The sequence below is a fragment of the Homo sapiens genome, chromosome 1 (assembly GCF_000001405.40).
Source record: "Homo sapiens chromosome 1, GRCh38.p14 Primary Assembly".
NCBI classification, from domain to species: Eukaryota; Metazoa; Chordata; class Mammalia; order Primates; family Hominidae; genus Homo; species Homo sapiens.
The window spans coordinates 155959324-155986848 of NC_000001.11; the positions used below are offsets into that span (position 1 = coordinate 155959324).

General features: G+C 53.0%; 1 protein-coding gene and 1 long non-coding RNA gene across 9 annotated transcripts in view, besides 17 other annotated features; one reads left to right on the forward strand and one right to left on the reverse strand.

Annotated features, from left to right (window-relative positions):
- ARHGEF2 (Rho/Rac guanine nucleotide exchange factor 2) overlaps positions 1–20294 on the reverse strand; it is a 32764-nt gene extending 12470 nt beyond the window's left edge. Inside the window, exons 1-11 of one of the 6 annotated variants that reach the window (NM_001350112.2) lie at positions 20188–20294; positions 9833–9977; positions 7497–7564; positions 7093–7156; positions 6308–6437; positions 5980–6089; positions 5665–5805; positions 3610–3860; positions 3270–3395; positions 2782–2899; positions 2338–2586 (exon numbers count right to left, since the gene is read on the reverse strand). In NM_001350112.2, the coding sequence (NP_001337041.1) occupies positions 2338–2586; positions 2782–2899; positions 3270–3395; positions 3610–3860; positions 5665–5805; positions 5980–6089; positions 6308–6437; positions 7093–7156; positions 7497–7564; positions 9833–9977; positions 20188–20199 (1414 nt within the window). In that variant the 5' untranslated portion in view covers positions 20200–20294. Of the gene's footprint in view, positions 1–2337; positions 2587–2781; positions 2900–3269; positions 3396–3609; positions 3861–5664; positions 5809–5979; positions 6090–6307; positions 6438–7092; positions 7157–7496; positions 7565–9832; positions 9978–18743; positions 18853–19041; positions 19225–19589; positions 19834–20187 lie in introns of those variants that run through there. The other 5 variants (NM_001350110.2, NM_001162384.2, NM_001162383.2 and 2 more) reach the window with 5 other exon arrangements.
- Positions 2199–3398: an enhancer, noted in NCBI's record as "CDK7 strongly-dependent group 2 enhancer chr1:155931313-155932512 (GRCh37/hg19 assembly coordinates)". NCBI's record gives its function as "activates an origin of replication core promoter dependent on BRD2, BRD4, P300/CBP, MED14 and CDK7 cofactors, with strong dependence on CDK7, by STARR-seq in HCT116 cells {active_cell/tissue: HCT116}" and the evidence as "EXISTENCE:reporter gene assay evidence [ECO:0000049][PMID:35650434]".
- Positions 2655–2949: a silencer, noted in NCBI's record as "tiled region #6631; HepG2 Repressive non-DNase unmatched - State 12:CtcfO, and K562 Repressive non-DNase unmatched - State 14:Gen5'". NCBI's record gives its function as "represses a minimal TATA promoter and a strong SV40 promoter by Sharpr-MPRA in HepG2 and K562 cells {active_cell/tissue: HepG2 | K562}" and the evidence as "EXISTENCE:reporter gene assay evidence [ECO:0000049][PMID:27701403]".
- Positions 8774–9005: a silencer, noted in NCBI's record as "fragment chr1:155937888-155938119 (GRCh37/hg19 assembly coordinates)". NCBI's record gives its function as "represses an EF-1alpha promoter that drives an FKBP-Casp9 reporter gene in an ReSE screen in K562 erythroleukemia cells {active_cell/tissue: K562}" and the evidence as "EXISTENCE:reporter gene assay evidence [ECO:0000049][PMID:32094911]".
- Positions 11123–11222: an enhancer, noted in NCBI's record as "active region_1825". NCBI's record gives its function as "activates an Ori minimal core promoter by ATAC-STARR-seq in GM12878 lymphoblastoid cells {active_cell/tissue: GM12878}" and the evidence as "EXISTENCE:reporter gene assay evidence [ECO:0000049][PMID:35858748]".
- Positions 11273–11452: an enhancer, noted in NCBI's record as "active region_1826". NCBI's record gives its function as "activates an Ori minimal core promoter by ATAC-STARR-seq in GM12878 lymphoblastoid cells {active_cell/tissue: GM12878}" and the evidence as "EXISTENCE:reporter gene assay evidence [ECO:0000049][PMID:35858748]".
- Positions 11463–11512: an enhancer, noted in NCBI's record as "active region_1827". NCBI's record gives its function as "activates an Ori minimal core promoter by ATAC-STARR-seq in GM12878 lymphoblastoid cells {active_cell/tissue: GM12878}" and the evidence as "EXISTENCE:reporter gene assay evidence [ECO:0000049][PMID:35858748]".
- Positions 16599–16858: an enhancer, noted in NCBI's record as "active region_1828". NCBI's record gives its function as "activates an Ori minimal core promoter by ATAC-STARR-seq in GM12878 lymphoblastoid cells {active_cell/tissue: GM12878}" and the evidence as "EXISTENCE:reporter gene assay evidence [ECO:0000049][PMID:35858748]".
- Positions 17001–17502: an enhancer, noted in NCBI's record as "H3K4me1 hESC enhancer chr1:155946115-155946616 (GRCh37/hg19 assembly coordinates)". NCBI's record gives its function as "activates a minimal SCP1, AML or CMV promoter by ChIP-STARR-seq in naive H9 embryonic stem cells {active_cell/tissue: H9 hESC(naive)}" and the evidence as "EXISTENCE:reporter gene assay evidence [ECO:0000049][PMID:30033119]".
- Positions 17619–17698: an enhancer, noted in NCBI's record as "active region_1829". NCBI's record gives its function as "activates an Ori minimal core promoter by ATAC-STARR-seq in GM12878 lymphoblastoid cells {active_cell/tissue: GM12878}" and the evidence as "EXISTENCE:reporter gene assay evidence [ECO:0000049][PMID:35858748]".
- Positions 19219–19378: a silencer, noted in NCBI's record as "silent region_1411". NCBI's record gives its function as "represses an Ori minimal core promoter by ATAC-STARR-seq in GM12878 lymphoblastoid cells {active_cell/tissue: GM12878}" and the evidence as "EXISTENCE:reporter gene assay evidence [ECO:0000049][PMID:35858748]".
- ARHGEF2-AS2 (ARHGEF2 antisense RNA 2) lies at positions 19316–23665 on the forward strand. 3 transcript variants are annotated; one of them, NR_183460.1, is made up of 3 exons: positions 19316–19371; positions 19997–20132; positions 21544–23665. It is a non-coding gene; the product is annotated as an ARHGEF2 antisense RNA 2 (long non-coding RNA). The 3 variants fall into 3 exon arrangements; NR_183459.1 differs by lacking the exon at positions 19997–20132; NR_183461.1 differs by lacking the exon at positions 19316–19371 and having other exon boundaries at positions 19940–20132.
- Positions 19439–19488: a silencer, noted in NCBI's record as "silent region_1412". NCBI's record gives its function as "represses an Ori minimal core promoter by ATAC-STARR-seq in GM12878 lymphoblastoid cells {active_cell/tissue: GM12878}" and the evidence as "EXISTENCE:reporter gene assay evidence [ECO:0000049][PMID:35858748]".
- Positions 19829–19898: an enhancer, noted in NCBI's record as "active region_1830". NCBI's record gives its function as "activates an Ori minimal core promoter by ATAC-STARR-seq in GM12878 lymphoblastoid cells {active_cell/tissue: GM12878}" and the evidence as "EXISTENCE:reporter gene assay evidence [ECO:0000049][PMID:35858748]".
- Positions 20360–20981: an enhancer, noted in NCBI's record as "H3K27ac-H3K4me1 hESC enhancer chr1:155949474-155950095 (GRCh37/hg19 assembly coordinates)". NCBI's record gives its function as "activates a minimal SCP1, AML or CMV promoter by ChIP-STARR-seq in naive H9 embryonic stem cells {active_cell/tissue: H9 hESC(naive)}" and the evidence as "EXISTENCE:reporter gene assay evidence [ECO:0000049][PMID:30033119]".
- Positions 20369–20418: an enhancer, noted in NCBI's record as "active region_1831". NCBI's record gives its function as "activates an Ori minimal core promoter by ATAC-STARR-seq in GM12878 lymphoblastoid cells {active_cell/tissue: GM12878}" and the evidence as "EXISTENCE:reporter gene assay evidence [ECO:0000049][PMID:35858748]".
- Positions 22583–22642: an enhancer, noted in NCBI's record as "active region_1832". NCBI's record gives its function as "activates an Ori minimal core promoter by ATAC-STARR-seq in GM12878 lymphoblastoid cells {active_cell/tissue: GM12878}" and the evidence as "EXISTENCE:reporter gene assay evidence [ECO:0000049][PMID:35858748]".
- Positions 24105–24604: an enhancer, noted in NCBI's record as "H3K27ac hESC enhancer chr1:155953219-155953718 (GRCh37/hg19 assembly coordinates)". NCBI's record gives its function as "activates a minimal SCP1, AML or CMV promoter by ChIP-STARR-seq in naive H9 embryonic stem cells {active_cell/tissue: H9 hESC(naive)}" and the evidence as "EXISTENCE:reporter gene assay evidence [ECO:0000049][PMID:30033119]".
- Positions 24476–24525: a silencer, noted in NCBI's record as "silent region_1413". NCBI's record gives its function as "represses an Ori minimal core promoter by ATAC-STARR-seq in GM12878 lymphoblastoid cells {active_cell/tissue: GM12878}" and the evidence as "EXISTENCE:reporter gene assay evidence [ECO:0000049][PMID:35858748]".

Here is a 27525-nt window from a genome sequence, read left to right on the forward strand (position 1 = left end):
CTGCAACTTCTGTCTCCCAGGAAAAAGCGATTCTCCTGCCTCAGCCTCCTGAGCAGCTGGGATTAAGGAGCACGCCACAACACCTGGCTAATTTTTTGCATTTTTGTAGAGACGGGGTTTCACCACGTTGGCCAGGCTGGTCTCTAACTCCTGACCTCAAGTAATCTGCCTGCCTTGGCCTGCCGAAGTGCTGGGATTACAGGCATCAGCCACTGCGCCTGGCCTATTTTTTATTTTTTGGGACCAAGTATCGCTCTGTCGCCCTGGCTGGAGGGCAGTGGTGTGATCTCTGCTCACTGTGACCTCTGCCTCCTGAGTTCAAGCGATTCTCATGCCTCAGCCTCCCAAGTAGCTGTGGCTACAGGTGAATGCTGCCATGCCTGGCTAATTTTTGTATTTTTAGTAGAGATGGGGTTTCACCATCTTGGCCAGGCTGGTCTCGAATTCCGGACCTCAGGCGATCTGCCTGCCTGATTCAGCCTCCCAAAGTGCTGAGATTATAGGGATGAGCCACCGTGCCCAGCCTGGACCACATTTTTTAGCCTTTAAATTCCATTTCTAATATCTAACTAAGGAAGACCTTTACGGCTATCTGACCTAAATTCTCCCTGTCCTGGCATATTCCCACTTCTAATTTTGAGCTTGGTAGGGAGGGAGAAAGTTTCCTTCCTCTCGCAGAGGACTGAAAGACCATCCCTCACCCACCCATCTCCTTCAACCCCAGCAGGCCCCTGCTTCAATTTCTTTCTCTGCTTCACACTCCAAGCTCTCAGATCCTATGGGGTCAGCACTCCAAGACTGAGGGAGGAAACAAAGATCAATTCCATAAAACTTGGATGTCACAATCAAGAAAACAGAGGGCGAGGCATAGTGGCTCACATTTACAATCCCAGCACTTTGGGAGGCTGAGGCAGGAGAATCACTTGAGGCCAGGAGTCTGAGCAAGACTAGCCTAGGCAACATAGCAAGATCTTATCTCTACAAAAAATTTAAAAATGTGCTGGGTGTGGTGGTGCAGGTCTGTAGTCCCAGTTACTCAGGAGTCTAAGGCAGAAGGATCACTTGAGCCCAGGAGTTTGAGTTACAGTGAGCTATGACTGCACCACTGCACCCCAGCCTGAGCAGCAAAGCGAGACCCTGTTTCTAAAAAAAAAAAAAAAGAGAGAGAAAACATACACTCCTCCTTTGCCCTTGGGGATTTTACTAAACTGTGGGCACACAGAAGGGGAGGGCTTTTGCTAAATGCTTCAGAAATAACACTCTCCAGCCTTGCTATTTTTAATCCCCCATGGTTTATATTCTTAGCTGCTGCGTGGGAGAGATGGGAAGGAGAGAAAGGGATAAAGGAAAGAGGCTGGTGAAGACTGACAATATCCAAACCCAGGGAGCAGGGATTTCATGACACAGGTACAGAGGCTCAGGCAGGCTTTGGCCTCAGGTATCACAGTTTCCTATTGTCCCTCACATCTCATCCCCAAAGCCAAGGCCTGCTATTCTCTTGCTTTGATTTAGGTGAGAAAGACTTTGCCAGTGCAGACAAATTCTGGAAAGAGAGCCTGGGAAAGTGTGCCCTGGCCCCTGATCTGCTCCCTCTGCCCTGCTGTCTCTTCTCCTCCCTGCCTGTCCTTCACCGGCTCAGTCCCCTCCTCTGGGCCTCCTCTGGCTGCGCTCCCCAAAGCTCTTGCTTACTCCCATCCCTGGTAGCTGGGATTCCAGCTGGGGGAATCAACTGATCCTGTCCTCCAGTCTGAGAGCTTCTTTGTCTTCCTCAGTAAAACTAGTAGCTCTCTAGGCATGCAAGGACCAAAGAAATTATAAAATACTGATAGGGAAGGCCCTGTATGGTCCATAAAGTTAACTGCAGAATTCAGGCTTTTCTGCCACAGAGATCCTATTTTTCTCTCCCACTGAGTCTCACTGTTGTATGGGCTGCATAAAGGGAGGTTGATTCTTTTTTTTTTTTTTTTTTGAGATGGAGTCTTGCTGTGTCACCCAGGCTAGAGTGCAGTGGTGCAATCTGGGCTCACTGCAAGCTCCGCCTCCTGGGTTCACGCCATTCTCCTGCCTCAGCCTCCTGAGTAGCTGGGACTATAGGCGCCCACCACCACGCCCGGCGAATTTTTTGTATTTTCAGTAGAGACAGGGTTTCACTGTGTTAGCCAGGATGGTCTCAATCTCCTGACCTCGTGATCCGCCCGCCTCGGCCTCCCTAAGTGCTGGGATTACAGGCGTTGAGCCACTGCACCCGGCCAAGAGAGGTTGATTCTAAGACCTGCAGGCATCTCCCACTCTCCATCTGACTTTGAATTCCTGCCTAGTCTGCCGAGCAGGTCTGACCTTTGAAGCGCCCCGTCGCTGTCTTCCAGAGCAGGCAGCCATCGTGGATGAGTTTGCGCCTCAGAAGTTCCTCTCGGCCAAAGGGGCCCTTGCCAGGCACTGGGGTTTGGGCCCGAGGGTCCATGCGGTTGTAGATCTCCTGCAGACGGGCCCCTTTCTCCAGCTGATAAATACCCTCGTCCACATTGGACAGCAGCTCCTTCACTAGCCCCAGTGCTGTGGTCAGGTCCTGGCGCTCCTCCTCGATCCCTGGCACCGGGGGTTGGCATGGGGAACGGCTCAACCAGTTTCACTCACACCCCAGTTCCCATCGTGTCTTGATTCCACCTTTAGAGGCTGCCCAGGGTTTCACACCCGACCCCACCCTTCCTGTGGTCATACCGAGCCTTTCCTCACCCCAGGTGGCCGTCTCCCAGTGGCCCTCTCCTGGGCCTGCCTACTCACCGTGGGAATGCTGCAGGATGCGGCTGATGAGTAACGGGTACTTGGTGATGCGCTGAGTCACCAGCAGGATGCACTCCTGTACCCCGTGCCGCTTGAGCACGGCGGGGCGGGTCACTTTCTACAAGGGAGGAGGCAGGGCTCAGGGCCAGAGGGGAGGGCAACAGAAAGGCCTGGGGCCTGAGCTCTGGTGCTGGCCCTGGCGTGGCCATTTACCTCATGCTTGCCTAGGTGACATATCTGGAAAATGGGGATAACAACGCCACAGGTTTGTTGTGAGGACCAACTGAAGGAGCAAAAAGTACTTGGGAAACTACCACAACGTGCTCTAGCATTCTGAGGGGTTACTGCTGACAGGATCTGTGTATGGATGGTCTGCACGGGTGGCGAATGCCTGACCTCCATGTGGGTGCAGCTCACAGGCACTACCCCCATGAGTTGGGGAGGGTGGGTTTGGGCCATGAGCATGGGATCTGGAGAGGTCCGCTCACCCGGATGAATTGCTGGAAGCGTTTGTCTCGGGCGTACAGCTCCTTATAGAGCTTTAAGGCCTTGCTGTGGCGGCTGCAGAACTCCGAGTAGGTCTTACACATCTGCTCCGCACTAGGACCTGAGAACTAGAAGTTGGTCGAGTAAGGTTAGGTCAGCATTCCCCCAAAGCCACACTTTACCCACTGGACACACCTCTGGCCTCCTGCCAAACAGGCTGGCTTCCTGTTTCTCCAGCTCTCCCTGGCTCCCCTCCAACCCCTAGAATTTGGACCCAAGAAATGCCCAACCCAGTCACACCTCCTTCCATGAATGTCACCCAGGGGTCCTGCCTTTTCCCACCTGGCTGATGAGCAGATCACCCAAGCGATGGATGACAAAGTTCCGGGTGCTGCCAGGGCACAGGGCCTGGCGTCGGCGTTCTAATAGCTGGCTGAGGAAGCGTGTATGGATGTCACTGAGCTCGTCCACGCAGGGGAACAGGCCCTGGACCACTCCTGGCTCCAAGTGTAGCTCTTCCAGCATCCCCGTGCGGAAGAGGCGGGTCATGATCTTCAGTGTCCTCACATGGTGCAGCTCTGTCTGGATTAGCTCTGTGGGGGACATTGGGACATTTGGCCTCTACCCTGGCTTGGCTAAAACTCGTGGGGCCCTAGGATAAGGACCTCACAGTTCACGTGAGGTTTTCAAGGTCCATTCCAGGTTAATATTCTGCATTATTATGATCTTAGATACTTTTCTAATCATTTTTATCTTTTTTTTTTTTTTTTTTTGAGACAGAGTCTCACTGTATTGCCCAGGCTGGAGTGCAATGGCGCGATCTCAGCTCACTGCAACCTCCACCTCCTAGGTTCGAGCAGTTGTCCTGCCTCAGCCTCCTGAGTAGCTGGGATTACAGGCACGCACCACCAGGCCCGGCTAATTTTTGTATTTTTAGTAGAGATGGGGTTTCTTCATATTGGTCAGGCTGGTCTCGAAATCCTGACCTCGTGATCTCCCCACCTCGGCCTCCCAAAGTGCTGGGATTACAGGCATGAGCCACCACACCCGGCCCTCATTTTTATCTTTCAAAAATTTTATTATTATTTTTTTTTTTCCAGAAATGAGGTCTTACTCTGGTGCCCAGGCTGGAGTGTAGTGGCACAATGATAACTCACTGCAGCCTCGAACTTCTGGGCTCAAGCGATCCTCCTGTCTCAGCCTCCCAAGTAGCTGGGACTATAGGCACATGCCACCACACCTGACTAGTTTTTTAAAATATTTTTTAAAGACGGCTGGGCACGGTGGCTCACGCCTATAATCCCAGCACTTTGGGAGGCCGAGGCGGGTGCATCACCTGAGGTCAGGTGTTCGAGACCAGCTTGGCCAACATGATGAAACCCTGTCTCTACTAAAAATGCAAAAATTAGCCGGGTGTAGTTGTAGGCGCCTGTAATCCCAGCTACTTGGGAGGCTGAGGCAGGAGAATTGCTTGAACCTGGGAGGCGGAGGTTGCAGTGAGCCGAGATAGCGCCAGTGCACTCCAGCATGGGCGACAGAGCAAGACTCTGCTTCAAAAAAAAAAAAAAAAAAAAAAAATATATATATATATATATATATATATATATACATATATATATATATATATTTTTTTTTTAGAGACAGAGGTCTTGCTTTGTTGCCTAGGTTGGTCTCAAAATCCTGGCGTCAAGTGATCCTCCCACCTCGGCCTCCCAAATCGCTGAGATTATAGGCATGAGCCACCACGCCCAGTTCCATTTTTTATCTTTACACCTTATCATCTCAAGCTGTGAGCTATTTTAGGGTAAGAACCATATGTCTTCTACATGTCGAGGCTTCCCACAGTCTCCAGCACGGTGTTAAGCGTGGAACAAGCACAGAGTAAAGACTGAAGACAGAGATAAAGAAGGGATAAAGAGAGGGTGTTGGAGACCAACAGCATCAAGAGGTAGGGACCTAGTGGGCAACCTGTGGGATACCAGGCAGGGTCTTGTAGGCCAAGAGGGAAAGGGTTTTGAGAGGTAGGGGCTGGTAGAAAGAAGGACACAGCCGGGTACGGTGGCTCACGCCTGTAATCCCAGCACTTTGGGAGGCTGAGGCGGGCAGATCACCTGAGGTCAGGAGTTTGAAACCAGCCTGGCTAACATGGTGAAACCCCGTCTCTACTAAAAATGCAAAACTTAGCCAGCATGGTGGCAGGCGCCTGTAATGAGAATCGCTTGAACCTGGGAGGTGGAGGCTGCAGTGAGCCGAGATCATGCCACTGCACTTCAGCCTGGTTGAGAGAGTGAGACTCCATCTCAAAAAAAAAAAAAAAAAGAAAAAGAAAAATAAAGAAGGAAGTAGATAAACAGGACCTGGTGAAGGAAGAGGAAGACTAGGGTGGTCTTGGCTTACCATAGATGACATCTTGCTGCTTCATCACCTCCTTTTTATGCTGCTGCAGGAAGCTGCTGTCCACAGCAAGACTCCAAGAGTCAGCTGCAAAGTCCTTCTCATCCATCTCAAAGTCACTCATCAGCTCACTGTAGATTACCTCTGCTGGACATTAGCAGGGCAAGCAACTCAGAGGTCTTGAGTTCCCTTCCCTGGGTCCCTGGCCCTTCTCTAGATCCCTTCCCTCCTTGTCCTTCCAGGCTACTCCCACCAGCCTCTCATCCCCCAGCCCCTCTTCATGTTCCTCAGGGCTCCCCTGGGCCCAGGCCTGCTCACCTTCGTCAATGAGGGATTCCACGGATAGGGTTCGGTTCCGCATGTTGAGGGAGTCTGTGGACTGTGAGAGGATCCGGCGCAGCCCCAGGGGAGACTCATCATTGAAATGTCTGAAGAAAGTGGAGGCTGTCTGCATCACCCCCAGTCGGGCAAAAGATCCCTTCCCAGGTAGGGAACCAAAGCCAGGATCCAAGAGGCGGTCCCCCTAAGTTCTCCTTATTTGTCTGTCTACAGTTCTGAACTCAGGGATGGAAAGGGACCTCTCAGCACCCCCTTGGCCTCCACTGCCACACTCTCTGGCTGCCCCTTTCCCCAAACAGAGGCTCACCCAGCAATGTTGGTGGTAGAAACACTCTTGGCTAAAGACAAGGAGGAGCGGCCACGGCGGGAGCCCAGGAGGGACTGCCGGAAGCTGTCGGAGGGGTAGATGGCCGAGCTTGGCCGCTCCCGGATGGTTGCTGTGGGGGAGAGATGCCCAGCAGGCAAACATCAGACTCTGGTGCTTCCCAGGATTGAGGCCTCCTAGGCTCCTCAATGAGGAATGAGGCATCCTCTCACTCCACCTCAGCCCCTCTAGTCAAGAAAGATGGTAATGAGAATGCCACCTTACATTTGTGCCATACTCTAATGTTCACAAAGAGCTTTTTCTTACTTATCTCCTCCCTGACATAAGCCTATAAACAAACAGGAGCTCAGAAAGACAAAAAGACTTGTCCAGGGTGACTTGGGTAATGGCTAGGCAGGGACTGAGGCTCTGCTCTTTATACCTAAGGGCCATGCTCTTTCTGTTACACCAAAGCTGTCTGAATTGACACTTGACAGCTGCTACCAACACTCCCGAAATGCAGTGTAAATAACTGATAAAAATGCAGGCTGCGGCCAGGCTCAGGCGACCACCCATCCCCAGCCCTCATCCCCATTCGGACTCTCTCTCCCCTTCTGCCTCTAAGTCCAAGAGTCCGAACCCTCCCTTAGGCCCCCACTATCTGCTTCCAATCAAGAAGAGGAAGGTGCTATGCCTGGGAACAACCTTAGTGGGGCAGCAGAGCCCATGGGTTGAGCAGCCTGGGGTCCAGGGTCTTAGGGGACCTCCTCCACTCCCCAACTACTCACTCTTACTTCGAAGAGAAACGGACTGCAAGGCGGTGTTGTTCTTCAGCAGGGCCGCTTTCTGTTGCTGTGAGACAGAGAGCAGGAGAGAGATACCAAGAATGGCTGTCACCCAAGGATCACCCCCAGAGGCATGGGACAGGAGCTAGGTGGCCGGCCCCCTTAGGAGAAAGCTGGCACTATGGTTAAGGGGATCAGGGTGATTGAGCCCAGTGCTGTGGGGACATGTCTGCAGCAACAGGCCTGGCCTACTTGGGGCCCGAGGCCTGGGGTTGAGGGTCTGGGCTGCCCCTTGGTGAGGAGGTGGGTGGTGAGAAACACAGGGTAGGGAATGAATGGAAAAGGCATGAGGGTACCGCACACTCACTACCCTCTCCCCCAGCCCTCTGCCCTCCCTGCCGTCTCACCTTCTGCTTGACCTTGGTACAGTTGGCGAGGGTGTCTTTACAGCGGTTGTGGATAGTCACATTGCAGGCTGGGAGGGTGGGGTAGAGAGGGTGAAGGGAGGGCCGGGTGGTACAGGAGGGGACACACCCACATGCAGACACCCATCTCCTCCTGGCCACACAGTCCTCGGGGACTCTCCCCCCTTCCCCGACTTCTGGGCCATTACCACACCCCAGTCCCTCTCCTCCCACCTCCCTCTTCCTTCAAGCAGGAAATGAAGTGAGGGGGGTATAGGTGCTGAATGAAATTAAACAATCAAGTGGGATGGGCAATCCTGACCCCAAGGTGGCCTGAAGGGCGGACCAGAGGGGAGCAGGGGTCACTGGCTGCCAGAGATGAGCTCAAGAAGCACGAAGGTGGTTGCGAATGGCAGATGGAAGAGAGGACTCCCACAGAACAGAAGATGGCACAGAGGCAGCCAGAATGGGGGCTAGGGGCAGAGGGGAAATTTACATTCCCTGAGCTTTTATAATAGTAAATGTTCCACATTTACTTAATCCTAACCACCCGTAGAGGGAGGTTCAGTTATCCTCATTTCATGTATGAGGAACCTGTCCTGGAGTGGCTAAATCGTCCATCAGAGGTCACACGGCTAGTGGGAGAGGTGGTGTTTACACTCCGGTGGGCCTGAATCCAAAGGCCGTGCTCCTTCCCTCGCACCACATGCCCTGGACTCTGGCTGGGCCTCAGCAGCTCCAAGGCTGATTGATGGCTCCAGTGGTAAAGAAGGGACAGGCAACTCCCCACCAAGCCTGGCCTTCTCCCTTCCAGGCCCAGGGAGTCCTGTTCCCCCAACTCAGGCAAATCCACAGCTCCCACACTCCATCTGCTTCTCCGCCATCCTCCACCCCACCTTGCCATGGGGTAGGAGAGAAGAAGAAAGGAGGATTCGCTGAGCCTAGGCACTGGGACCCTGGCCGTGCCCTTCCCAGACATGCCCTCAGCTCCCGGCCCTCTCCAGCTTCCCCTCCCCCATCCAACAACACCGGAAACTCTGCTAACTCTTTCAGACAATACCCAGCACCACGCTCACTTCCACAAATACAAGGCAAACAGGGTGGAGCAGAGGGGGCAGACAGAAGTGGGGGTTGCAGCTGCCCCCACCCCCCTGGAGCTCCCTTCTCCTACCCCCAACACTCAGTGTCTCTGGATTGAACCTCCGCTTTCCACCTGCTCTCAAAATAGTGCTGCCCGCCTCCCCTGTTCCCCTGGCAACAAGCTTCCGGATTGGGAATTTTGTCAGGTCTCTATAGGGATCTAGATTGGGGTTCCCTCCTCATCCTCACAACTCTAAATTGAACAGTGAGGAAAGTAGGGAGGCTTCACTGGTTTTCTTTTCTTTCTTTTTTTTTTTTTTTTTGAGCGGTAGCAAGCTTTATTGTGAAGAGCAAAATGACAAAGCTCCCACAGCGTAGAAGGGGACCCGAGCGGGTTGCCCATCACTGGTCCTTTCTGGGGGTTCCTTCCCCAAGTTTCATAGGGATTTACAGGCTAGAGCTTTTGTCCGCTATTCAGTAGCAGGTCACAATACCTTCAATCCTGCTCTAATCAGAGGCATCTCTGCCATAACTTCAGGAGGAATTGAGGGAGAGGGGGCAGCAGGAGCCCTCTGTGTACTGGGGAAGGAAAGAATTCCTGGCTTATACTCCCTAAAGACAGGACTACACTCAGATGTGGATGAAGGGCAGGAATTCTAACCCCTGCCCCTCAACACACACATCCCTGCTACATTCCCTCTTTCTCACTAGAAATTTGAGATGAAGGGTCCTAATCACATCTTCTGCTTGAAACAGCAGAGATTTCAGGCTCCACCCATAGTCAATAGAAAGAAAGGGGCAAGGGGACTGTGAAGTCCTGAATGCCCAGCTCTGCGCAGGAAGACAGGCAGAGCCAGCTGCAAGGCTGGCAGCTTTCCACCCAGTTCCTCTGTCACCCCCCACCCCACCCCCTCCACACATACAACATTCCTGCTCCTTCTCCAATCAGTTCCCCTAACCCTTAGCAGCTGTTCGGGGAGCAAGGGGGGTGCCTGGTGGATGACAGCTGCAAGAGGAGCCAGCACAGCCTCCCCTCCCCCACATTCCCAGATAGTCCGGCTTATGCCATATTCCAACAGCCACCACCCCTCAGAGTGAGGACAGGGAGCAAGGGATCAAGCAACTGGCCCTGGCATTTGGGCCCAGCTGGGGATCAGAGAGAAGAGTGACCCTCATGGATCCAGGCAGAAAAAACAGATGAAAAGATCAGGGTCAGTGGGCACCGAGTCTGGGTGACTCTCAGGGTCCAAACAACTTACTTGGGCAGATGAGGGCTTCCTTGGCTGTGATGCTCTTGTTACAGGCATAGCACATGGTCATGCCTGAAACTGAAATGGTGGTGAAGAGGTGCCCATTGGTATAGCGGGCATCCTTGGCTTCCTTCATCTTCTCCTTTTCCCGGGTCTGTGGAAGGGATGAGAGGGAGAGGAAGTGAGGCTGGAAAATGCCAGGGTGCCTGGAGTCCAGAGAGACAGGCTGGGGGCAGAGGCAAGGAAAAAATGCCAGCCTGAGGATGCTGGAAAGACACCAGTTCCTAAAGCAGAGCCTGCAACTGGGTGTCAGAGGCAGCTGTCCGGGAGTGACCAGGCCAGGCTCTGGGGCAGCCAGCCCGGATGGGTTCTGGGTCCCTGACCTACCTGGCCCCTACGGCTGGGCTGCCTCCTGTTGCCACTCATCTCCCTGGCTCTAGGTCTCTGCGTCCTCACTCCACCTTCCCAGCCCTAGCTCTGCTCACCCCCGAGCTGCTGTACTCTCTTCTCTGTGCTAGGGGGAAGATGCGCAGAGAGGAGGGGAGAGCAGGCGAAGCGGAGGGTGCCAGCTCACCAGCGCTTTCCAATCTATGGGAGTTAGCTCCTCTTATAACCATGACAACCAGTGTTGGATCTGCTGTCTCTGTGGCAGTCACAGTGGGGGGGGCAGGAGATCCCCTTATTAGATTGGCTGAAGGGGGCAGAATGCCTCCCCTGCCACCCCCAACCCAGGGGTCAGGATCCCAGACCTCTAACTCTTTTCACCAACCCTCAGCCACGGCACACAGGGCCTGTCTGGGAGGCAGCATGTCCCCTACTAACCTTGAGGCAAAGGCAGCTAGCTGCCTTTGGGTCACTCTTCCACTCTGGGATCTTTAAGTAAGGAAGCTCAGCCAGCCATCTTGGTTGCTTCCAGCGGAAAATCTCTCCTGCAGTCTAACTTTTATCCCTCTCATACTACTTTCCAGAGTTAAAACCTAGGAGAGTTTCCTCTATTGCTCCTTACCCAACTGGTCTCTCCCATCCTAGGAAGTCCTTTCTGACATCTACCCTCCATCCTTCAGTGTTGATCTCCGCAGATGGCGCACACCTTCCTCGGAGCCTCTGAGCCGCATTTTCCATCTCTGCTGTCTCCCATTTCCCCCAGTGCCCCTGCCTCTGCAAGTCAAGTCATTCTCCCTGACCTCCAATCTGTCCCTCTTCAAGCCCCTGTGATTCCCAAAAAGCCTGAGAAGGTGAGAAGAGGGGGATATCACTCTTCCCACTATTCTAGGACCTTCCTTAGTTGTGACTCTGATCTCTGGATTTTCCCTCCGCTCTTGGAGCAGGACTAGAAGCTGAGAAGACCACTCCCTCCAAGGTTTCCCAGGCTCTCAGAAATCAAAAATCAGGATCCAGATGGCTGAGGGTAGAAGCCCCAAGTCAGAGGACCTGGACTGGGGACAGAGGATTACAGTTCAGCGGGAAGCACTCAGCCCGGACTCTAGGAGACCAGTACTGACTCAGCCGAGGCCACGAGGCCACGCCAGCAGCTGAGAGGTGGAGGAGGGGAAGAGATGCACGGGCCTGGTGCTTGGGGCAGAAAATGGTAGAAAGAAAGGGGAAGTGTGGAGGGGCTGAGTCAACAGTGCAGGGACAGAGGGCATGGGGCTGCAGTGCCTGGGCCCAAGATCCTTCTCTTTCCTGCCTCTCTTCCCAAGCTCCAGGTTTGCCTGATGATGTCCAGAGCCCAGAGGTCTTGGGGTCAATCCCTTCTCCCCTCATGCATCCTCCCCATCCCCAATCATCCATTTTTCGCATCCTCCTCCTGTCTCCTGCTCTCTCTATGTCCTCCCTTCTCTTCTCAGGGTCTCCCTCCTAGGCTCCTCCCGCTCTGCCTTCCCTTTCTCAGCCTTGCTTCTCCGCCACTGTTCTCCTCTCCCGCCCACAGCCTCTCCTCCCCTCCTCCTCACGCAGGCCAACTGCTCCTCTACCTAGGCTTATTCAGGAAGCTGAGCTGCCTCTAGCCTCTAACTCAAACCTCTAAAATGTTCTGGCCTCCTTTTTTCTATTCTGGCACCTACCTACCCGGACCACTAGAAAATGCTCCCTTTGGTCTAACCTCCACCTATCTTGCACCAAATTATACCTCTTTAGAAGTTCAAATTCAGGCTGGGTGCAGTGGCTCACACCTGCAATCCCAGCACTTTGGGAGGTCGAGGCGGGTGGATTACCTGAGGTCAGGAGTTCGAGACCAGCCTGACCAACATGGTGAAACCCCATCTCTACTAAAAATACAAAAAATTAGCTGGGCGTAGTGGCAGGCACCTGTAATCCCAGCTACTTGGGAGGCTGAGGCAGGAGAATTGCTTGAACCGGGGAGGTTGGAGGTTGTGGTGGGTTGAGATTGGGCCACTGCACTCCAGCCTGGGCCACAGAGTGAGACTATGTCTCAAAAAAAAAAAAAGAAGTTCAAATTCACCTTTGAATAATAACCTCACAGGACCTCAAACACCAAGTCCAAAAATCTCTTCCCACTGCCATATACTCTCCCTTTTCTCCTCCTCTCCTGCCCTCCCAGCCTTCTATATAACTCAAACCAAAAGTTTGAGCATGTATTACATTTGAATTAAAAGCAAGAGGCCGGTGAGGTGGCTCACACCTGTAATCCCAGCACTTTGCGGGGCTGAGGTGGGAGGATCGCTTGAGGCCAGGAGTTTGAGAACAACCTGAGCAACACAGCGAGACCCATCTCTATAAAAAAAAAAAATATATACATATATATATATACACACATAAGTAAAAGCAAGCAAGCTGAAAATAGTATTAAAAAAAACAACATGGCTGGACCAGGGTCACTCCAGAATGGGCAGTGCTGCAGCTCTGCCCCAGTGCTGCTACGAGTACTCTCTTCCACACCTGACCTCTGTCCTTTGCCCTCCACCCTCCCCCTGTGGCATCCACAAACACTCATCTGTCTGACCAGCTCAGATGGAGTGGCAAAGGGAGGGAGAAGACTGGGGCAGCCAGAGAACAGGGTCTCTAGTGGCCCTTCCTCTCTCTGGCATCAATGCTCCACAGACAGCCCTGGTACTCTGGGCCCTGCCTCCTCCACCTCCCAACACTCACCCTCTCTCGAAGTGACCCCTGCTCTAGGTGGGCCAGCAGCGGGCAGCAGCCACAGCAGCAGCACATCCCAGCATGGGCACTGCCCAGCAGCAAGCGACCCTGGCACTGCCTAGTGCTATTGTCCCGGAGGTTGCCTGTGCCCGCCCCAGGGCTCAGGCTTCTGAGGATGGAAGGACATAGGGCCTGCTTACCAGGGGTGCCTGCTCCAGAGGTGGAGTGAGTGGGCTTGTTTGGTTCTTTGTCCTACTCTTTTCCAGGTATTCTTAAGATAATCACATTGGTCTCCCATTTACCCACGCCCAAGTAGGACAGCCCTTTACCTCCAAGACCCAACCTATGCACCAAGAAAAAGGGCCCATTACTCCACAATCCATAACACCCACCCCAGTGCTCAGAGGCCCTTCCTGCTTGGTTCAGTCCTTTGCTCTCCAGCATCTAGATACTTTTTTTTTTCTTTTTTTTTTTGAGACAGGGTCTCACTCTGTTGCCTGGACTGGAGTACATTGGCATGATCATGGCTCACCGCAGCCTTGACCTCCCGGGCTCAAGTGATCCTTCCACCTCAGCCCTCCAAATAGCTGGGACCACAGGCATGCATCATGATGCTCACCTAATTTTTAAATTTTTTTTGTAGAGACAGCGTCTTGCTATGTTGCCCAGGCTGGTCTCGAACTCCTAGGATCAAGTGATCCTCCTGCCCCAGCCTCCCCAAAGTGCTAGAATTATAGGTGTGAGCCACCACGCTCAGACCTAGAGTCATTCTGTCTCTTTCTCACAAATCCCATGGGAAGTTCTTCTTGCTACACACCTTCATCCACACTACTGCTACATCAAGGATAAATAAAGAATATGAAAGCCCTTAGCACAATACCTGGTATACAATAGGCACCCAATACATGTCTCAAAATGAAAGAAAAGGAAGGAAGCAAAGAAGCAAGGAAGGATGTATGGACACCAAGACATGGGGTCTCAGTAGCACCCTGGCCCCTATTCTGGAAACCCTCTTCCTTCCTTATCAGAGCTTTAGAACCTTCTGTCTCTTCTTGTTTCTCTTTTCTCCCTCCTCCTGAAGGGCTCTAAGCCATTCTCTCCTATTTCCTTTGAGTTTAGACCCTGAGGGTTTCCTCTGGAAGTCAGAAGACCAACCCCAAACTTCCTTCCACTGTCATCCCAGATCTCAGTCACTTTTGGGAAAGAAAGACAGGGCCAGGCCGAGCGCAGTGGCTCATGCCTATAATCCTAACACTTTGAGAGGCCGAGGCGGGCAGATCACTTGAGATCAGGAGTTTGAGACCAGCCTGGCCAACATGGCAAAACCCCATCTCTACTAAAAATACAAAAATTGGCCGGGTATGGTGGTGGGCACCTGTAATCCCAACTACTCAGGAGGCTGAGGCAGGAGAATTGCTTGAACGCAGGAGGTGGAGGTTGCAGTGAGCCAAGATCATGCCACTGCACTCCAGCCTGGGTGACAGAGCGAGACTCTGTCTCAAAAAAAAAAAAAGAAAAGAAAAAAGAAAGAAAGATGGGAGCAATGGCAGAGGGCATTGTGGATCTCTACTGAAAAGCTCAAAGGCAAACACAGTCTCCCCTCTTCTCTCCACTTTGTCTCCCAGAATAAGGGATGAGGAAACAGTGACGTACATGGAGGGGAAGGCAATGCCAAGGCTAGGACTTTGGCTTCCTGGGCTCCCAGCAGGCAGCAAGGCCAGGCAGATCCACCCAGGCGAGGTAGAGCTTCTCCAAGCAAGCCCTAAGCTCTCATCTGACTTTTTTTTTTTTAATAATAGATTTTAAAAACTTAATGTTTTTGTAGAGATGAGGTCTCACTATGTTGCCCAGGCTTGTCTCAAATTCCTGAGCTCATGCGATCCAGCTGCCTTGGTCTTCCAAAATGCTAGGATTACAGGTGCGAGCCACTGTGCCCAGCTCTCTCAGCTGCCTTTGCTTCTCTCTCAGGTATGTCCAAATCAAGACTTCTGGGAGAGTCACAGAGTACTCAGAATCACCTCTCCTCCAGCTGTACCTGGCAGCAGCCCCTTCCCCAAGATGGTGACACCTCTGTCCACACCCTCTGTAATAGTGACCGGAGAGCCTGTGGAGCATTCCACCAGGATTCGAGTCACCTGTGGCTCAGCCCCTGTACAGCAGAGGCGCCGTTGGCTATGAAGGGCACTGAGTCCTGGAGGAGGAGCTATAGGGCTGGGAAATGAAGAGGTGAGGGATTGCTGGGGGTGGGACTGAGAAGAGGGCTTGGGGTGGTCTCAGCCGGGCCCTGCTCCTTTATGAGCTTCCAGGGACAAGATGAAGACAGGAGGCAGAGGGGAAGGCAGCCAAGTGGAAACACTAATGCCAAAGCCAGAAACAACACAGAAAGACATCACTGCACACACAAAGGCACTTAATAAATGCTTGCTTAGTGAATGAAGATGAGACACTGGCAATGGGAGTGGGTACGGGTGAAACGGAAGAGGATTGCTAAGGGCCACAAGGAATAAATCAGGTTAGGGACCCTGAGACCCAAGCATCCTGGAACCCAGCCTGCCCCCTACGCGGCCACACCTGTCAGGCCAGGAGAGAGAGACAAGCAGAAAGAGAGGGGGGGTAAGCGATGCAAACAGACAGGCATTTGTGCAAGTGAACAATAGCTGTGCCAGGACTCCCTGCCCTCCTGGCACAAGGCAGGCCGGCTGGGTTGGGAGGGGGGCAGCTGCTGCCTGCAACCCCACCCCCACCCTCTCCCAAAGAGACATAAACAAACCCGGAAGGGTCCAGCCAGCTCCTCTCAGCCTTTTCTCTTACCAGCTTCAGAAATCCTAACCAATCCGCTCACTCAGCTCCTAGATGATATTTCCAACCAGAAACTGAAGCTAAGGATGAAGCTACTTCCTCGTGGCCAGAGAGCACGAACCCCCTACTTTGCTGACCACTGTTCAAAACAGTAGCCCAGAGCATCTGGGTACAGAATAGGAGGGCAGGCAGGCAGACAGACACACTGACACACCAGCACACCAGTAACATGCACACAGGGGATGCACACATTCACATCTGTCCCCTCCTTGATTCCAAGGTCAAATTCCACAGCCAGAGTGGCTAAGATCAGACCCCACTGTAACTCCTCTGGTCGGCCTCAGTAGGTCCTTCTCTAGGCCCCATCTAACCTCCTGCAAGTCACTCAGTGACTTCCCTAAGCTTTAGACTCCCTTCCCCTATCCTCACTTCTCCCCTCCCCCTCAACTCTCTCCCTAACCTCCACGACCCCTAGAATTTTTGTCTATGTCCCCAGAAGCCTCAGCCACCAGGAGGACCCCCCATTCTTCCACTCTCCTCCAACACCGTCAGCCCTCTCAGCTCCCTCCTGGGCTCCCCCAGCTCTCCTCTCCACTGCACTCCTAGTCCTGCACACAAAGCCAGCCACCTCTCCATTCCTCAGAACAAAGAAATAGTCGCTCTGCACACTCCCCACTCCACCTGCCCACCACAGAGATTCCAAGGGGACCCCCAGCCTCCACAGCCATCCCTGGACCTCTGGTCCCTGCTTGGCAGAAAAGGACCCTTTGTTCTAAGGGATATGATGGTTGGGGTTTGGGAAAGGAGAAAGGGAAGAACAGGGGACTAAAGAGAGAAAGGGGACCTGTGAGGTTTGGGGCTTGTGGAGGTAGGAAGTAGAGCAGAGAGAACAGAGGAGGTGGAGGACTGAAGACAGCCTGGGAGAACAGAAATGGAGTGAAAAGAAAAAGGAAGCATGGAGGGGGCTACACAGAGAGATCCTGTGAGGATGGGACAGAGAAAGGGGCAGGTTAAACTTACATTCCTCCTCCTAGGAGGAGCTCCCAGGGAATGAGGCAAGGAATGGGGAGGGGCTGAGGTGTCAGGGCTTAGCTGTGACCCATCCCCCCAAGGAGGTAGCAGGGGACACCATCTTCTTCAAATAATGTCTTTTCCAGCGGGTGCCCCTCTACTTCCCACCACAGTATAAAAAGAAAGGAGACAGCTGGTGTGCTGGGGGGAGGGGGAGAGGGGATCCAGGGTTTGTTGGCTAAGAACCAACTCCCCCTTCTGTAACCACAGTTTTCCGGAGGTGGCCCTCCCCTTCCGACCGGCCCAAACTGACAACCACCCTTCTCCGGTGGCCTCTTTGCCCTCTCAGATCCACCCACTCAGCCCCCGACTCCCTGCTGCCAGCCAGATTCCCAAATTACCTGCCCCACACAGCCAGCCCCCATAGTAGAAAGAAGAGCCAGTCCCCCCACCACCAAAAACAAAAACAAAAACAGAGCATGAACACCCAGATGTCTGACGTCCCAGCTCCCCACAATAATGGAAAAGGGATCCCAGTAGCTACCTGCCCCCACAGAACCGCTCTCTATACCCCCTAGCCAGGTCTTCCCCCAACCAGCTCCCCCATGGCTTTCCTTTTTAGGGTGGAACCAAATTTCTGCGGTTTCAAAAAACCTCCCCCGCCCCCCTTGGCTCTACTCCAGGGTCTCAGCTCAAACGGTTGAAAAAATAAACAGACTTTTGGAGCTGGGGCCTGGGCTGGCGCAGGCTGTGAAGAGCCTGTCTGCCACCCCACTGTTCCACCACACTTCAGCCACCTCACCCCGGCCCTCTGTTTGTCTTAGGCCCTACTCGAATCCCCAGTTGCTTTCCAGATAGCAAAATCTAATCCCAACCCCCTAAGGAAAGTCCTTTTAAAGCTGCTTTCCCTGGCCCTCCACCCCCAACCCAGGATGGAACCTCTGTCTCTCCCAGTTTAGCATCAAGACAGGTAGCCTGGCTAGGAACTACCAGGGAGGTGGAGGGGAGGGCTTTCCATCACCCTTAAGGACTCCTAAGGGGTACTGCTCCCTTGGCTGAAGTTGGTGATCAGCATAGGCTGGCACCAGGGTAGTAGGGCACTCAGGTTGGAGAGAAGCCAGAGATTAAACCAACTCTGGGCTGGGACCTGTCCTTTCTGATAATGGGTACAGTGCGGGGGCCCCAAAGGAGCTGGGAGGTGCTGTCTGCAGGCACCACCTTCCTTTCAGCTCTGACTTATTCACCTGCAAGTCAGCTTCATCATTTCCTGGGGTCTGGGTGTGGAAAGGTCAGGGCACTTGGGAATGGGGCTGGGTACAAAGGCAGGGATAAAGGGTACTTGGAGAGGAGTGGCCAAGAGGTCATGATGGGGGAGGCGTGTGGATAATTATACACCCAGACTCATGAAATGCTAGGTGAAGGGACCCCAAGACGAGCAGATAAGAGAATGAGAGCGCTGGGGGAGGAGGAGGAAGGGCAGGGAACACAATGCATAGTGCCAGGTGTGTCAGCCTAAGGGTTTCAGGTTGGGAGAAGGAAGAGCTAGGAGGCTGGCGGGGCAGATAGGGATGGAGGCCCTATGTTCCAGGCAGAAGGGCTCAGGATGGAGGAAAGGAGCCCAGCTACACAAAGACCTCTGCTCCCTTCACCTAGAGGTGATGGTTTGGGGGAAGTAAGCCGTCCCTCGGCCGTCCCGACCCCAGCCACCCGCCCACCCAGAGGGGAGAACTGAATCACAGCTGGAAAGTCCATTTGCGAGGAGAGGAGGAGCTGACTTTTGTCTTGGAGGGGTGGTGGTGGTGGTGGGAGGAAGCCGGGAAACCACCCCCTCCCGTCCCCTCCGCCGGATGGCGGGGACAAAGGGGGAACGACCAAGCCAGCGATTGGGGAGTGATGGGGGGTCGCCACGCCAAGCCCAAGCCGGTGGGGCCCGGGGTGAGAGGAGGTGCCGGAGCTTCCACCGCCCCCACCCGCGAGACACACACCTCCCTCTTCCCGCTCCGTCCCTTACCGGAGCAACTTTCTTTCAAGCGGCCTAAAGCACTCGGTCCCGCCGGCTTGGAGGCGACCAAGCCCAGGTCCGCTCCGCTCCCTCCCGGGATCCCAGCACCGTCGCGTCTGCCGCTCCCCCCACCCCTACCCACTCGCTCGCAGTCCCCACCCACCCCGTCCCGCCGCTCGCCGATCCACCGCTCCGCCCGATTTTGGCGCCCAGAAAGCAGGCGGGGAGACAGGAGATGCACCGCGGGTGCCGGGGTTCGGGGAGCACCCGAGGACCGCGGCGAAAGGAGAGGGGTTTCCGAGCCCACCTTGCTCGCCAGCTCTCTGCTCCGGTCGATCCGCGCCCGCGTGAGGGATTCGATCCGAGACATAATCGGACGGGGGGACCAGGGAGGACGCGGCGCGGACCCCGGCGTCCTGTATTGTTGGGGGAAGGCGGGGGGAGGGGTTCGGCCCGCACGCGTTGGTCTCGGGGACAGGAAGTCTGACTCCCCTCGCCCGGCACCCAGCACCAGTTCCTCAAACCCGAGTCTCCTCCCCCGCCCAAGCTCAGGAAGGGGGTAGGCGGAGCGGAGGGAGGGCGGGGTGCCCGCGCGCAGGACGGGACGCCAGGGTTTGTGTGGGGGCAGCTCGGAGAGGTACGAGGGTCCTAGGACAGGTTTGAGAGGCCCCTCTGCCTATTTCCCCTCCAGCGCCTGGGGGCGCCCTCTAGCCCCAGAGACCCGCCTCTTAGCTCTTCTTTTCCTAAAACCCAGCCCCGCAGCCCTCGCCGGACCCAGGTTGGCCCTTTCCCCTCTGCCCTCCCCTTCTTCCCTTCTCCCCTCGCCCTCCCTTTTTCCCTCCCCTACTGCGTTACCTCAGTCTTTAAAGACCCGCAGGCAGGAGAATTCCATCCGCCCCCAGCTCTTAGAAAACCCAGGACCAGTTCCTTCCTGGCCTTCGGGGTCCCATCAAAGCAGGCCTGAGCAGACTGACCCCTTTTACGATTGGGGGCAGGGGTGGCCAGAGGGAGAGGAAATCAAAGGAGAACTAAACGCTGGATCTTCAGTACACGGGAAGGGTAGGATTCACTCCCAGAGGTCGAAGAACAGAGAGGAGAGAATTCTCCCACATGCCCCACCCTTCTGGGGCCTTCCTGACCCCACTCTGCCCTCCTCCTAGCTCCGCCTCTGCCAGCTACTTTGGGGGACTAGGTTGGGATTCTCCACTTTTACCGAAGGCCTTCCATGTGTCTAACTGCAGTTCTCTCTGTTGCAAGTTAAGCCGGAACTGAAAGACCAGAAACCAGCCTGCCCTAGTCAAAGAAAGTTAGGGCCCAACCAGCCTCTCCCCAAGAAGCAGGGTAAGGTGGGGCATTCATCTCTCTGGACCCTTTTCCCCAGCCTGAGCCAGCCTTTGGGTGAGTTTCCTGCTATTGGGAAAATTCCTCCTCCAGTCTAACTATGATCACTTACAGTGAAGTTCATTTCTGCCTCTCAGGGTCTCCCATTTCTCTGGAGAAACCAGAAGCACAGAGAGGCCTGGGACAGAGCCTTCGGTTAGCAGGGTCCTGCCTGATTCTGGCCCCAAAGGGCGTGGGAGAAGAAGGGAGGGAGGGGAGACCCAACCCAGATCCAGCAGTTCTCTGCCCTGGCTCAGCAGTGGGGCCAGGCTGCAGGTTTCAAGCCCAACTCAGCACTCTTGTAGGTGCCAATTTTAGCCTCTGCCACTATTTTTGGGCTCCACTACCTCACCACTGGCTGAGCTGGTTGGGCTCCTCACCCCCAGCACTACCCCCACACTGCCCCTCCGGCTTCCCCTCCTTCCTAGCAACTCCTTCACCTCCTTCTTCACCCATTCCCCTGTTTAGAATCCTTAAATAGCAAAGACCAGGAAAAAGGAAGAGGAAATAAACCGTGCCCAGTTCAGGCTGGATGGACATTAGAAAGCAGGAAGGACTTCCCCAGGGCCACAGCTTGTTCTTCCTGGCTTGCACCTGCCAAGTATACCTACGGGGAGGGTGTAGGAACTCCCCCAAACCAAGAGGCCTGAGGCTCCTGGCCCCAGAACTCCAGACTCACCTCCCCTGAGGTGGGCAGCCAAGACTCAGGAATGTACTAAATTTAAAAACAGACAGCCAGAGGCTAGAATCTTGGCCTCAAGGTTCCACCCACTGGAGGCCCAGAGACAAGATCTGGGGTGGGACCTCAGCTTCTCTCCCAGGCCTGGGGCAGGAGGGTGCTGCAAGCTATGGATAGAATCTTAAAGGGCCACACTCCAGCCTGGGTACCCAGGAAACATAGAATTTGAACCCTGGGGTTTTTCAAGCGACCTCATGGTCCCTCAACTCAACTAAGAAGGTCTCTATGAAAGAAGAGGACCCGACCCTCCAACTCTTTTCTGTCTCCCACCCCAACCTTCAGTCTACTTTCCATCCCACCTGCTGTTACCCTACCCCTCACCCTATGCCCTCTTCTTCCCCTTAGGAGATGAATAACAAGGAAAGGGACTAGGGACAGGGAAAAGAAAAGTGTTCTGCCTTTAAAAACACCTGTGTTTAGTGAGCTTGGCCTGCAGCTTGACTCAGTTTCCGTTTTCTATATCCTCTTGAACAATGAACACTTTTCCCTTCTCCTTGGTGTCACCTGCCCCCCTTTTCCAAGACCCTTCTTCATTCCAGCGCCCCCTCTACTCCTATCCAGTGATATCTTCCAGATTTTCAGAAATAATTTTTTAGATACACAGAAACAAACATTTCTACCAGGATCTAAAAATAGCCATCACCTTCTTTAGCCCATTTAACTTGACGAAATGTGTCCCTCCCATTTCAGGGGTAGGGAGGAGGTCCCAGGGAAGAACCTGGTTGCCAAAGTCTCGGCCAGTTGGAGAAGAGATGGGTCTCCCGAGGATACCCAAGCCCAAGCTCTACACTGTCCCAAGGTGGTTTGTTTTTCTTCTTTCTTCTATTGGTCTGGACCTTGTATATTCTGGGAGGAGGTGATTAAGGCCAAATTGCCTTAAGTGGCCATCCAGCCAGAAGCTGGAAGAAGGGAAGGATGAGAGGGAATGAACTGTTGTGTTACGGCTATTGAGAGAAACAGTGGCAATACACAGCCAAAGCCCTGAGTTTCTAATACGGCGCCACCTCTTATGAGCTGTGAGATCTTGGGCAAAGTAACTAACCTTTAAGTATTTGTCTGTAGAATTGAGATTGAAATACTTATCTTTGCCAGAATTGTTATAAGAATTAAATGAGTTGAAAGTGTTTCATCAAGTGTGCAATGCTACTCAAGTAGGAGGGACTAAGCTACTTCCTTCTCTCACTGCTTGACTGAGCTTCTCTCCAGCCCCACCCCCTGATGTTTACTGCTTATGGAGAAAGAGATTAAGTGAAGCAGGCCCACACATTCATGAAGGTGGAAGGAAGATGTAGCAGGAGATGGTGGAGAGGGAAACAGAGGAAGACAGGATGACAGACGTGGGGAGGAAAGGCTGAGCGAGGCAATGTCCTGACTCACTCTGGCGCTTCCCTCTTTCCCATCTGGGCTCCAGAGTCTCTGCCCTCATTCCCCTTCACCAGGTTGCTCAACCCTCCATCAGACTGTTAGGTCAAGGGTGGACAAACAGACCAACCGGGATCTGGATGGCCCCTGGGCAGTACTGACTTCCCCTACCATTCCCATGGCAAGAAAAGGGAGTGATTCCACTAGCAGACTCCCCTACCCTGCAGTGAGACAGCCTGTAGGAAGGTGAGACTCAGACCCCAAGGTTTCTGCTTTTGCTTTGTTCCTTCGAGATCTCCATTCCCCCATGGGAGAGAAACCTCTCTGTCCCACCTGCCCTCCCCTCCCATCAGCTTTCAGATTCTCCAGCTGCTCCTCTTCTGAGACTCACCCAGTCTCATGCCTCCATTAGCCTCAACTCCCGACCCATGGCCTGTGGTGAGAGGTGCTAACAACATGACCTGCTTTCATCTTGACCTTCCCAGCCCACCCAGAGAAAAGGGAATCTTGGCTAAAAAAAGGCTGGAAGAGGGGAGAACCCTGGCACTGCGGGTGGGGCTGGGAGGAGCCCAGGCAACCTTACTGGTGAGAATCTCATGGCTCTTCAAGGTGAATATGATGATGATTTCCCTGGGGTTTCTTTCAATACTCAGAAGCCGCCCCGAGTTGGAAAGCACATGCATACTTGGGGAGGCCAGGGGAGGAAAAGGGGGGCGGCTCACTCTGACAGTAAATGAAGAAAGTGGAAACAAATTCAAGGAGCAGGCAGAGCTCCCGGTTTCACCAGAGCCCAACGGTTGGTAATAAGGATGAGAACAATGTGCCTTCACTTCCTGGGATCAGAACAGCACATGGCCGCACATGTACGGGTATGCATGTGCTTCCATAATCATATACTTTCCCAGCTTCTACTCTGCCTGTGGTCTAATTTCAACTCCTTCAGCTGCTGTACCCACCCATAAAATTATGAGTGTAAAAGCACTTTGCAAACCCTGATACTCTATGAAGAAGTAAAAAGTAGTGCTGTAATTATTATCATTATTATGTCCAATGGTTGAGGTTTCCGCTGCCCACCTGTCAGCTATGTGAGGCCTAAAGAGAGGGAGGGCTAGGCCATTCCTCAGCTTCTGAGGTTCCTGGCCCTTTTCCCCTTCCATCTGTCCACAGCTGACTGCTAAGCTGGATGCGTAGGGGAAAGCAGAGAAAAGGTGATTTACTGGGACACAGAGACACAGGCTGGAAGAGATAGCATGTGTTTCCTTAAAATTTGAAGCATTTGGCTGGGCACAGTGGCTCACACCTGTAATCCCTGCACTTTGGGAGGTAAAGGCAAGAGGATTTCCTGGGCCCAAGAGTTAGAGGCTGCAGTGAGCTATGATTGTGCCATTGTACTCCAGCCTGGGAGACAGAAACCCCCTCTCTTAAAAAAATAAAAAAATAAAAAATGGAACCATTGCTCTGAGTTTCTAATAGGGGGAGTGGTGGGAGGTGGCGATGGTGGGATGGGAGAAAGGGAACTGGAGAGGGCAGTGGGTCCCAAGCCTCCTGCTTCCCCAGCTGACTCCTACCTTGGCCTTTCCGGTCATGCCCGAGAGGAAGCTGAAGGTCTGTCGCAGGGAGGAGCCTACCCGGGTACCTGAATGTCCTTCCAGCTGGCTGCAGCTGCATAGAGAAAAAGAAGACATGAGGAGATGGAGGTAATGCTGGAAATGAAGAAAAAGATAACTTCCTGAGAGATGGTGGATGAAGGTGCCATGACCAGCAGAGCCAGAATGGGAAGGAAGAAAGAGGAAGGATTGGGAGAGAAAGATAAGCCCCCATCCTGACCTCCTAGGACTTCCTGGATGTGGGCATTTCAGTTTCCCAGGCCCCTCTATTTAGGAAGAAAACTCCAGGCTCCACCCAGATAAATACAGACTCCTCCTTCCTACCTAATCCAGGCTCAGGATGGGAGGCCCAGCCTCCTCATGCTGCTCCCCAACGGAAGTGGTATGGGGCGGAGGCTCTCCCGGGGGGCATTTTCTCCTCTCAGAACAAGAGCCCTGTGTACGACCCTCTCTGCTGTTTGGAGAAGGCCTCTGGGCCTAAAGCCAATAAGGACTGAATTTCCTGGGATTTCATCAGCCCCATCCCATGAGCTAATCCCAAACCCAGAGCCAGGAGGATGTGTCAGCTAGAGATTTTCAGGACCACAAAGCAGAGCCTGATATCTTAAAGGGACCATTACTTGCTTACACATCCACACTGTCTTAGAGGGCTGACCCACTCTAATCAGGCTTCAGCCATAGGAGCCAAATAAGCAGGTGCTGATTTTGCATGCTTATTTACATAGTTATTCAAATCTCCCAGCCTCCACCTCCAGACCTGAACTCTGCCTTCAGGCCCTGCCCTCTGCTGGGAGCTCCACAGCCCTTGCCCAGCTCTCCTTAGGGCCAATCCCCATTGGTCTATTATCTGAGCCATCCTAAGCTGATCCATGGTCCTTGGTCATTGTCCCTCACTAAGACTGTTCAACAGTCTATCTGCCCTTTTACCCTATACCACTGACAACAGCAAGCAACTCCCATGCTCTATTATTCAATGGACACCCTGTGCCCTGGATACTCCTTTTCTCCTAATTTCTCCCCCCATCTCATGCAGCTACCGGGAACCTGGTGAGCCCACCCAAACCAAAGAAGAGAGGGTGAATTCTATGCAGCTCAGGGAAGGATATTTGGAGGTCTTAGATCAGAAATGTTAAGGGGAGGAATGATTCAGGAAGCAGGGAACCCACTGGGGCTACAAAACCATAGCCTAGACCCTATTGCTGTTCCCCTATAGAGGCTTTTGAAGGATTCTGAGTCCCCCACACTCACCGTTTCCTGAGGTCAATGGCAGAGGACTGGGATACATTCCCTGCCAACACAAAAGGAGATGAGAAGTGTCTAGCTAAAGCCAGACAAAGGCGCCCAGGGCTTCCTCCCCCACCCGCTTCACCTAGATCAGGTTCCCAAGCTGCAGGTGCATGTGACGCTATTCCTGAGGGCGGGCAGTGGGCAGCAGGGAGAGAGGGCGGGGTCTAAGCAGGGCAGAGCTGAAGAATTTAGGAGCCATGGGAACAGAGCACCGGGTTATGTGGAGACAGTGGCTGGGAGACTGATGTTTCAGAGGTTTCACCCAGAGCTCCCAATACTCCATCTTGAGGACAAGGTATATTGCAGGTAACTGTCTTGCATCTCTGGTGACAGGGGAGGCTGGAGAACCTCACTATGTCCTATGTCCGCTTTCATTGGTAGGAGTTTCAGAATTCCAAAGTCCAGAATTCAGATTGCTTATTTGAATAAAGCCATTCTGAGGCCAGGCATGGTGGCTCACGCCTGTAATCCCAGCACTTTGGGAGGCCAAGGCAGGCGAATCACTTGAGCTCAGGAGTTTGAGACCAGCCTGGCCAACATGGTGAAACCCTTTCTCTACTAAAAATACAAAAATTAGCCGGGTGTGGTGGCGCGCTTCTGTAGTCCCAGCTACTCAGGATGCTGAGGTACTAGAATCACTTAAACCCAGGAGGCAGAGGTTGCAGTGAGGTGAGATTGCGCCACTGCACTCCAGCCTGGGCAACACAGTGAGACTCGGTCTCAAAAAAAAAAAAAAAAAAGAAAAGAAAAAAAAATAATAAAGCCATTCTAGGAGTTCCAAGGGTATGTGGCTAAACATAATACAGGACATCTGGACCCTGAACAGCTAGCTATGAGGAGTGGCAACAAGATGTATAGGGGAAGGGGCCACCTCTGCTTTGCTCCCTACTTTTGCTCACCATCTGTATCCGAACGGTCCAAGAGACAGTTGATGCCACTCACGGGTACAGACTTGGAAAGCATGCCAGTGGCCGAGTGGTCCAAAGGGCCAGCAGATGGATGACAGGAATCCTGATCCTGGAATCATGTCAAGAGTCCTCACACCAAGGGCAGGCTTCATCTGTCCTCCCCTCATGCTCTTTACTTCCCCACAGCTTGGCCTCTCTTCAAATCCAGGCCTCCCACCCCTTTCCAAAACCCATATTGGGATATTGCACTTTAAATAGTTGGGAAGTTACTCCGCTGTTTTGCAGTCATTACTCTGTTGCAGTTCAAGCCCAGGCTTTCTTAGTATATAAAAGTATCTAAGAAGAGAGATTTACCCTGAATGGTTTTCAGAGATGGCAAACTCAACCTATAGAGGCCAGCCAGGTAATGAAAAAAACAGGCAGGCCTGGCGCGGTGGCTCACACCTGTAATCCCAGCACTTTGGGAGGCCGAGGCAGGTGGATCACAAGGTCAGGAGATTGAGACCATCCTGGCTAACACGGTGAAACCCCGTCTCTAATAAAAACACAAAAAATTAGCCCGGGTTGGTGGCACACGCCTGTAGTCCCAGCTACTTGGGAGGCTGAGGCAGGAGAATCGCTTGAACCTGGGAGGCGGAGGTTGCAGTGAGCCAAGATCACACCAATGCACTCCAGCCTGGGCAACAGAGTGAGACTCCGTCTCAAAAAATATATATATACATATATATATATAGATTTTTTTCACTAAGTAAGGGTAGAGAAATATTTTTTTGAAGACTTTTTTTTAGACAGCCTAAGTAAATAAATAGTTACATTATTTTTCATGGATAGATAAACTCAATATTGGAAATAGGTCAATTCATCCTACATTAATCTTTGTTTTGTTTTGAGATAGTCTCGCTCTGTCGCCCAGGCTGGAGTGCAGTGGCGGGATCTCGGCTCACTGCAAGCTCCGCCTCCCGGGTTCACGCCATTCTCCTGCCTCAGCCTCCCAAGTAGCTGGGACTACAGGCGCCCGCCACTACGCCCGGCTAATTTTTTGTATTTTTAGTAGAGACGGGGTTTCACCGTTTTTAGCCGGGATGGTCTCGATCTCCTGACCTCGTGATCCGCCCGCCTCAGCCTCCCAAAGTGCTGGGATTACAGGCGTGTGCCACCGCGCCCGGCCTATTGAGCTCATCTTATGTGCCAGCCTCTGTGCTGAATACTTTGACACCTTTTGTTCATTTAATAATCACAATTTTAAAAGACAATTTATTATTCTGATTTTCAGAAAGATAAAATAAATTGCTCAGCGGGTAAATAAATGAAGGATCTAGCAGTCAGTTCGACTCCGAAATCCTGTTCTTTCTACTGTAGTACATTGAAATGGGGATCAGGGGAGACATGCAAAGATGCTGATGGAGAAAAGCGGTTGATGGGATCACTTGAGGTCAGGAGTTTGAGACCAGCATGGTCAACACGGTGAAACTCTGTGTCTACTAAAAATAGAAAAATTAGCCAGGCGT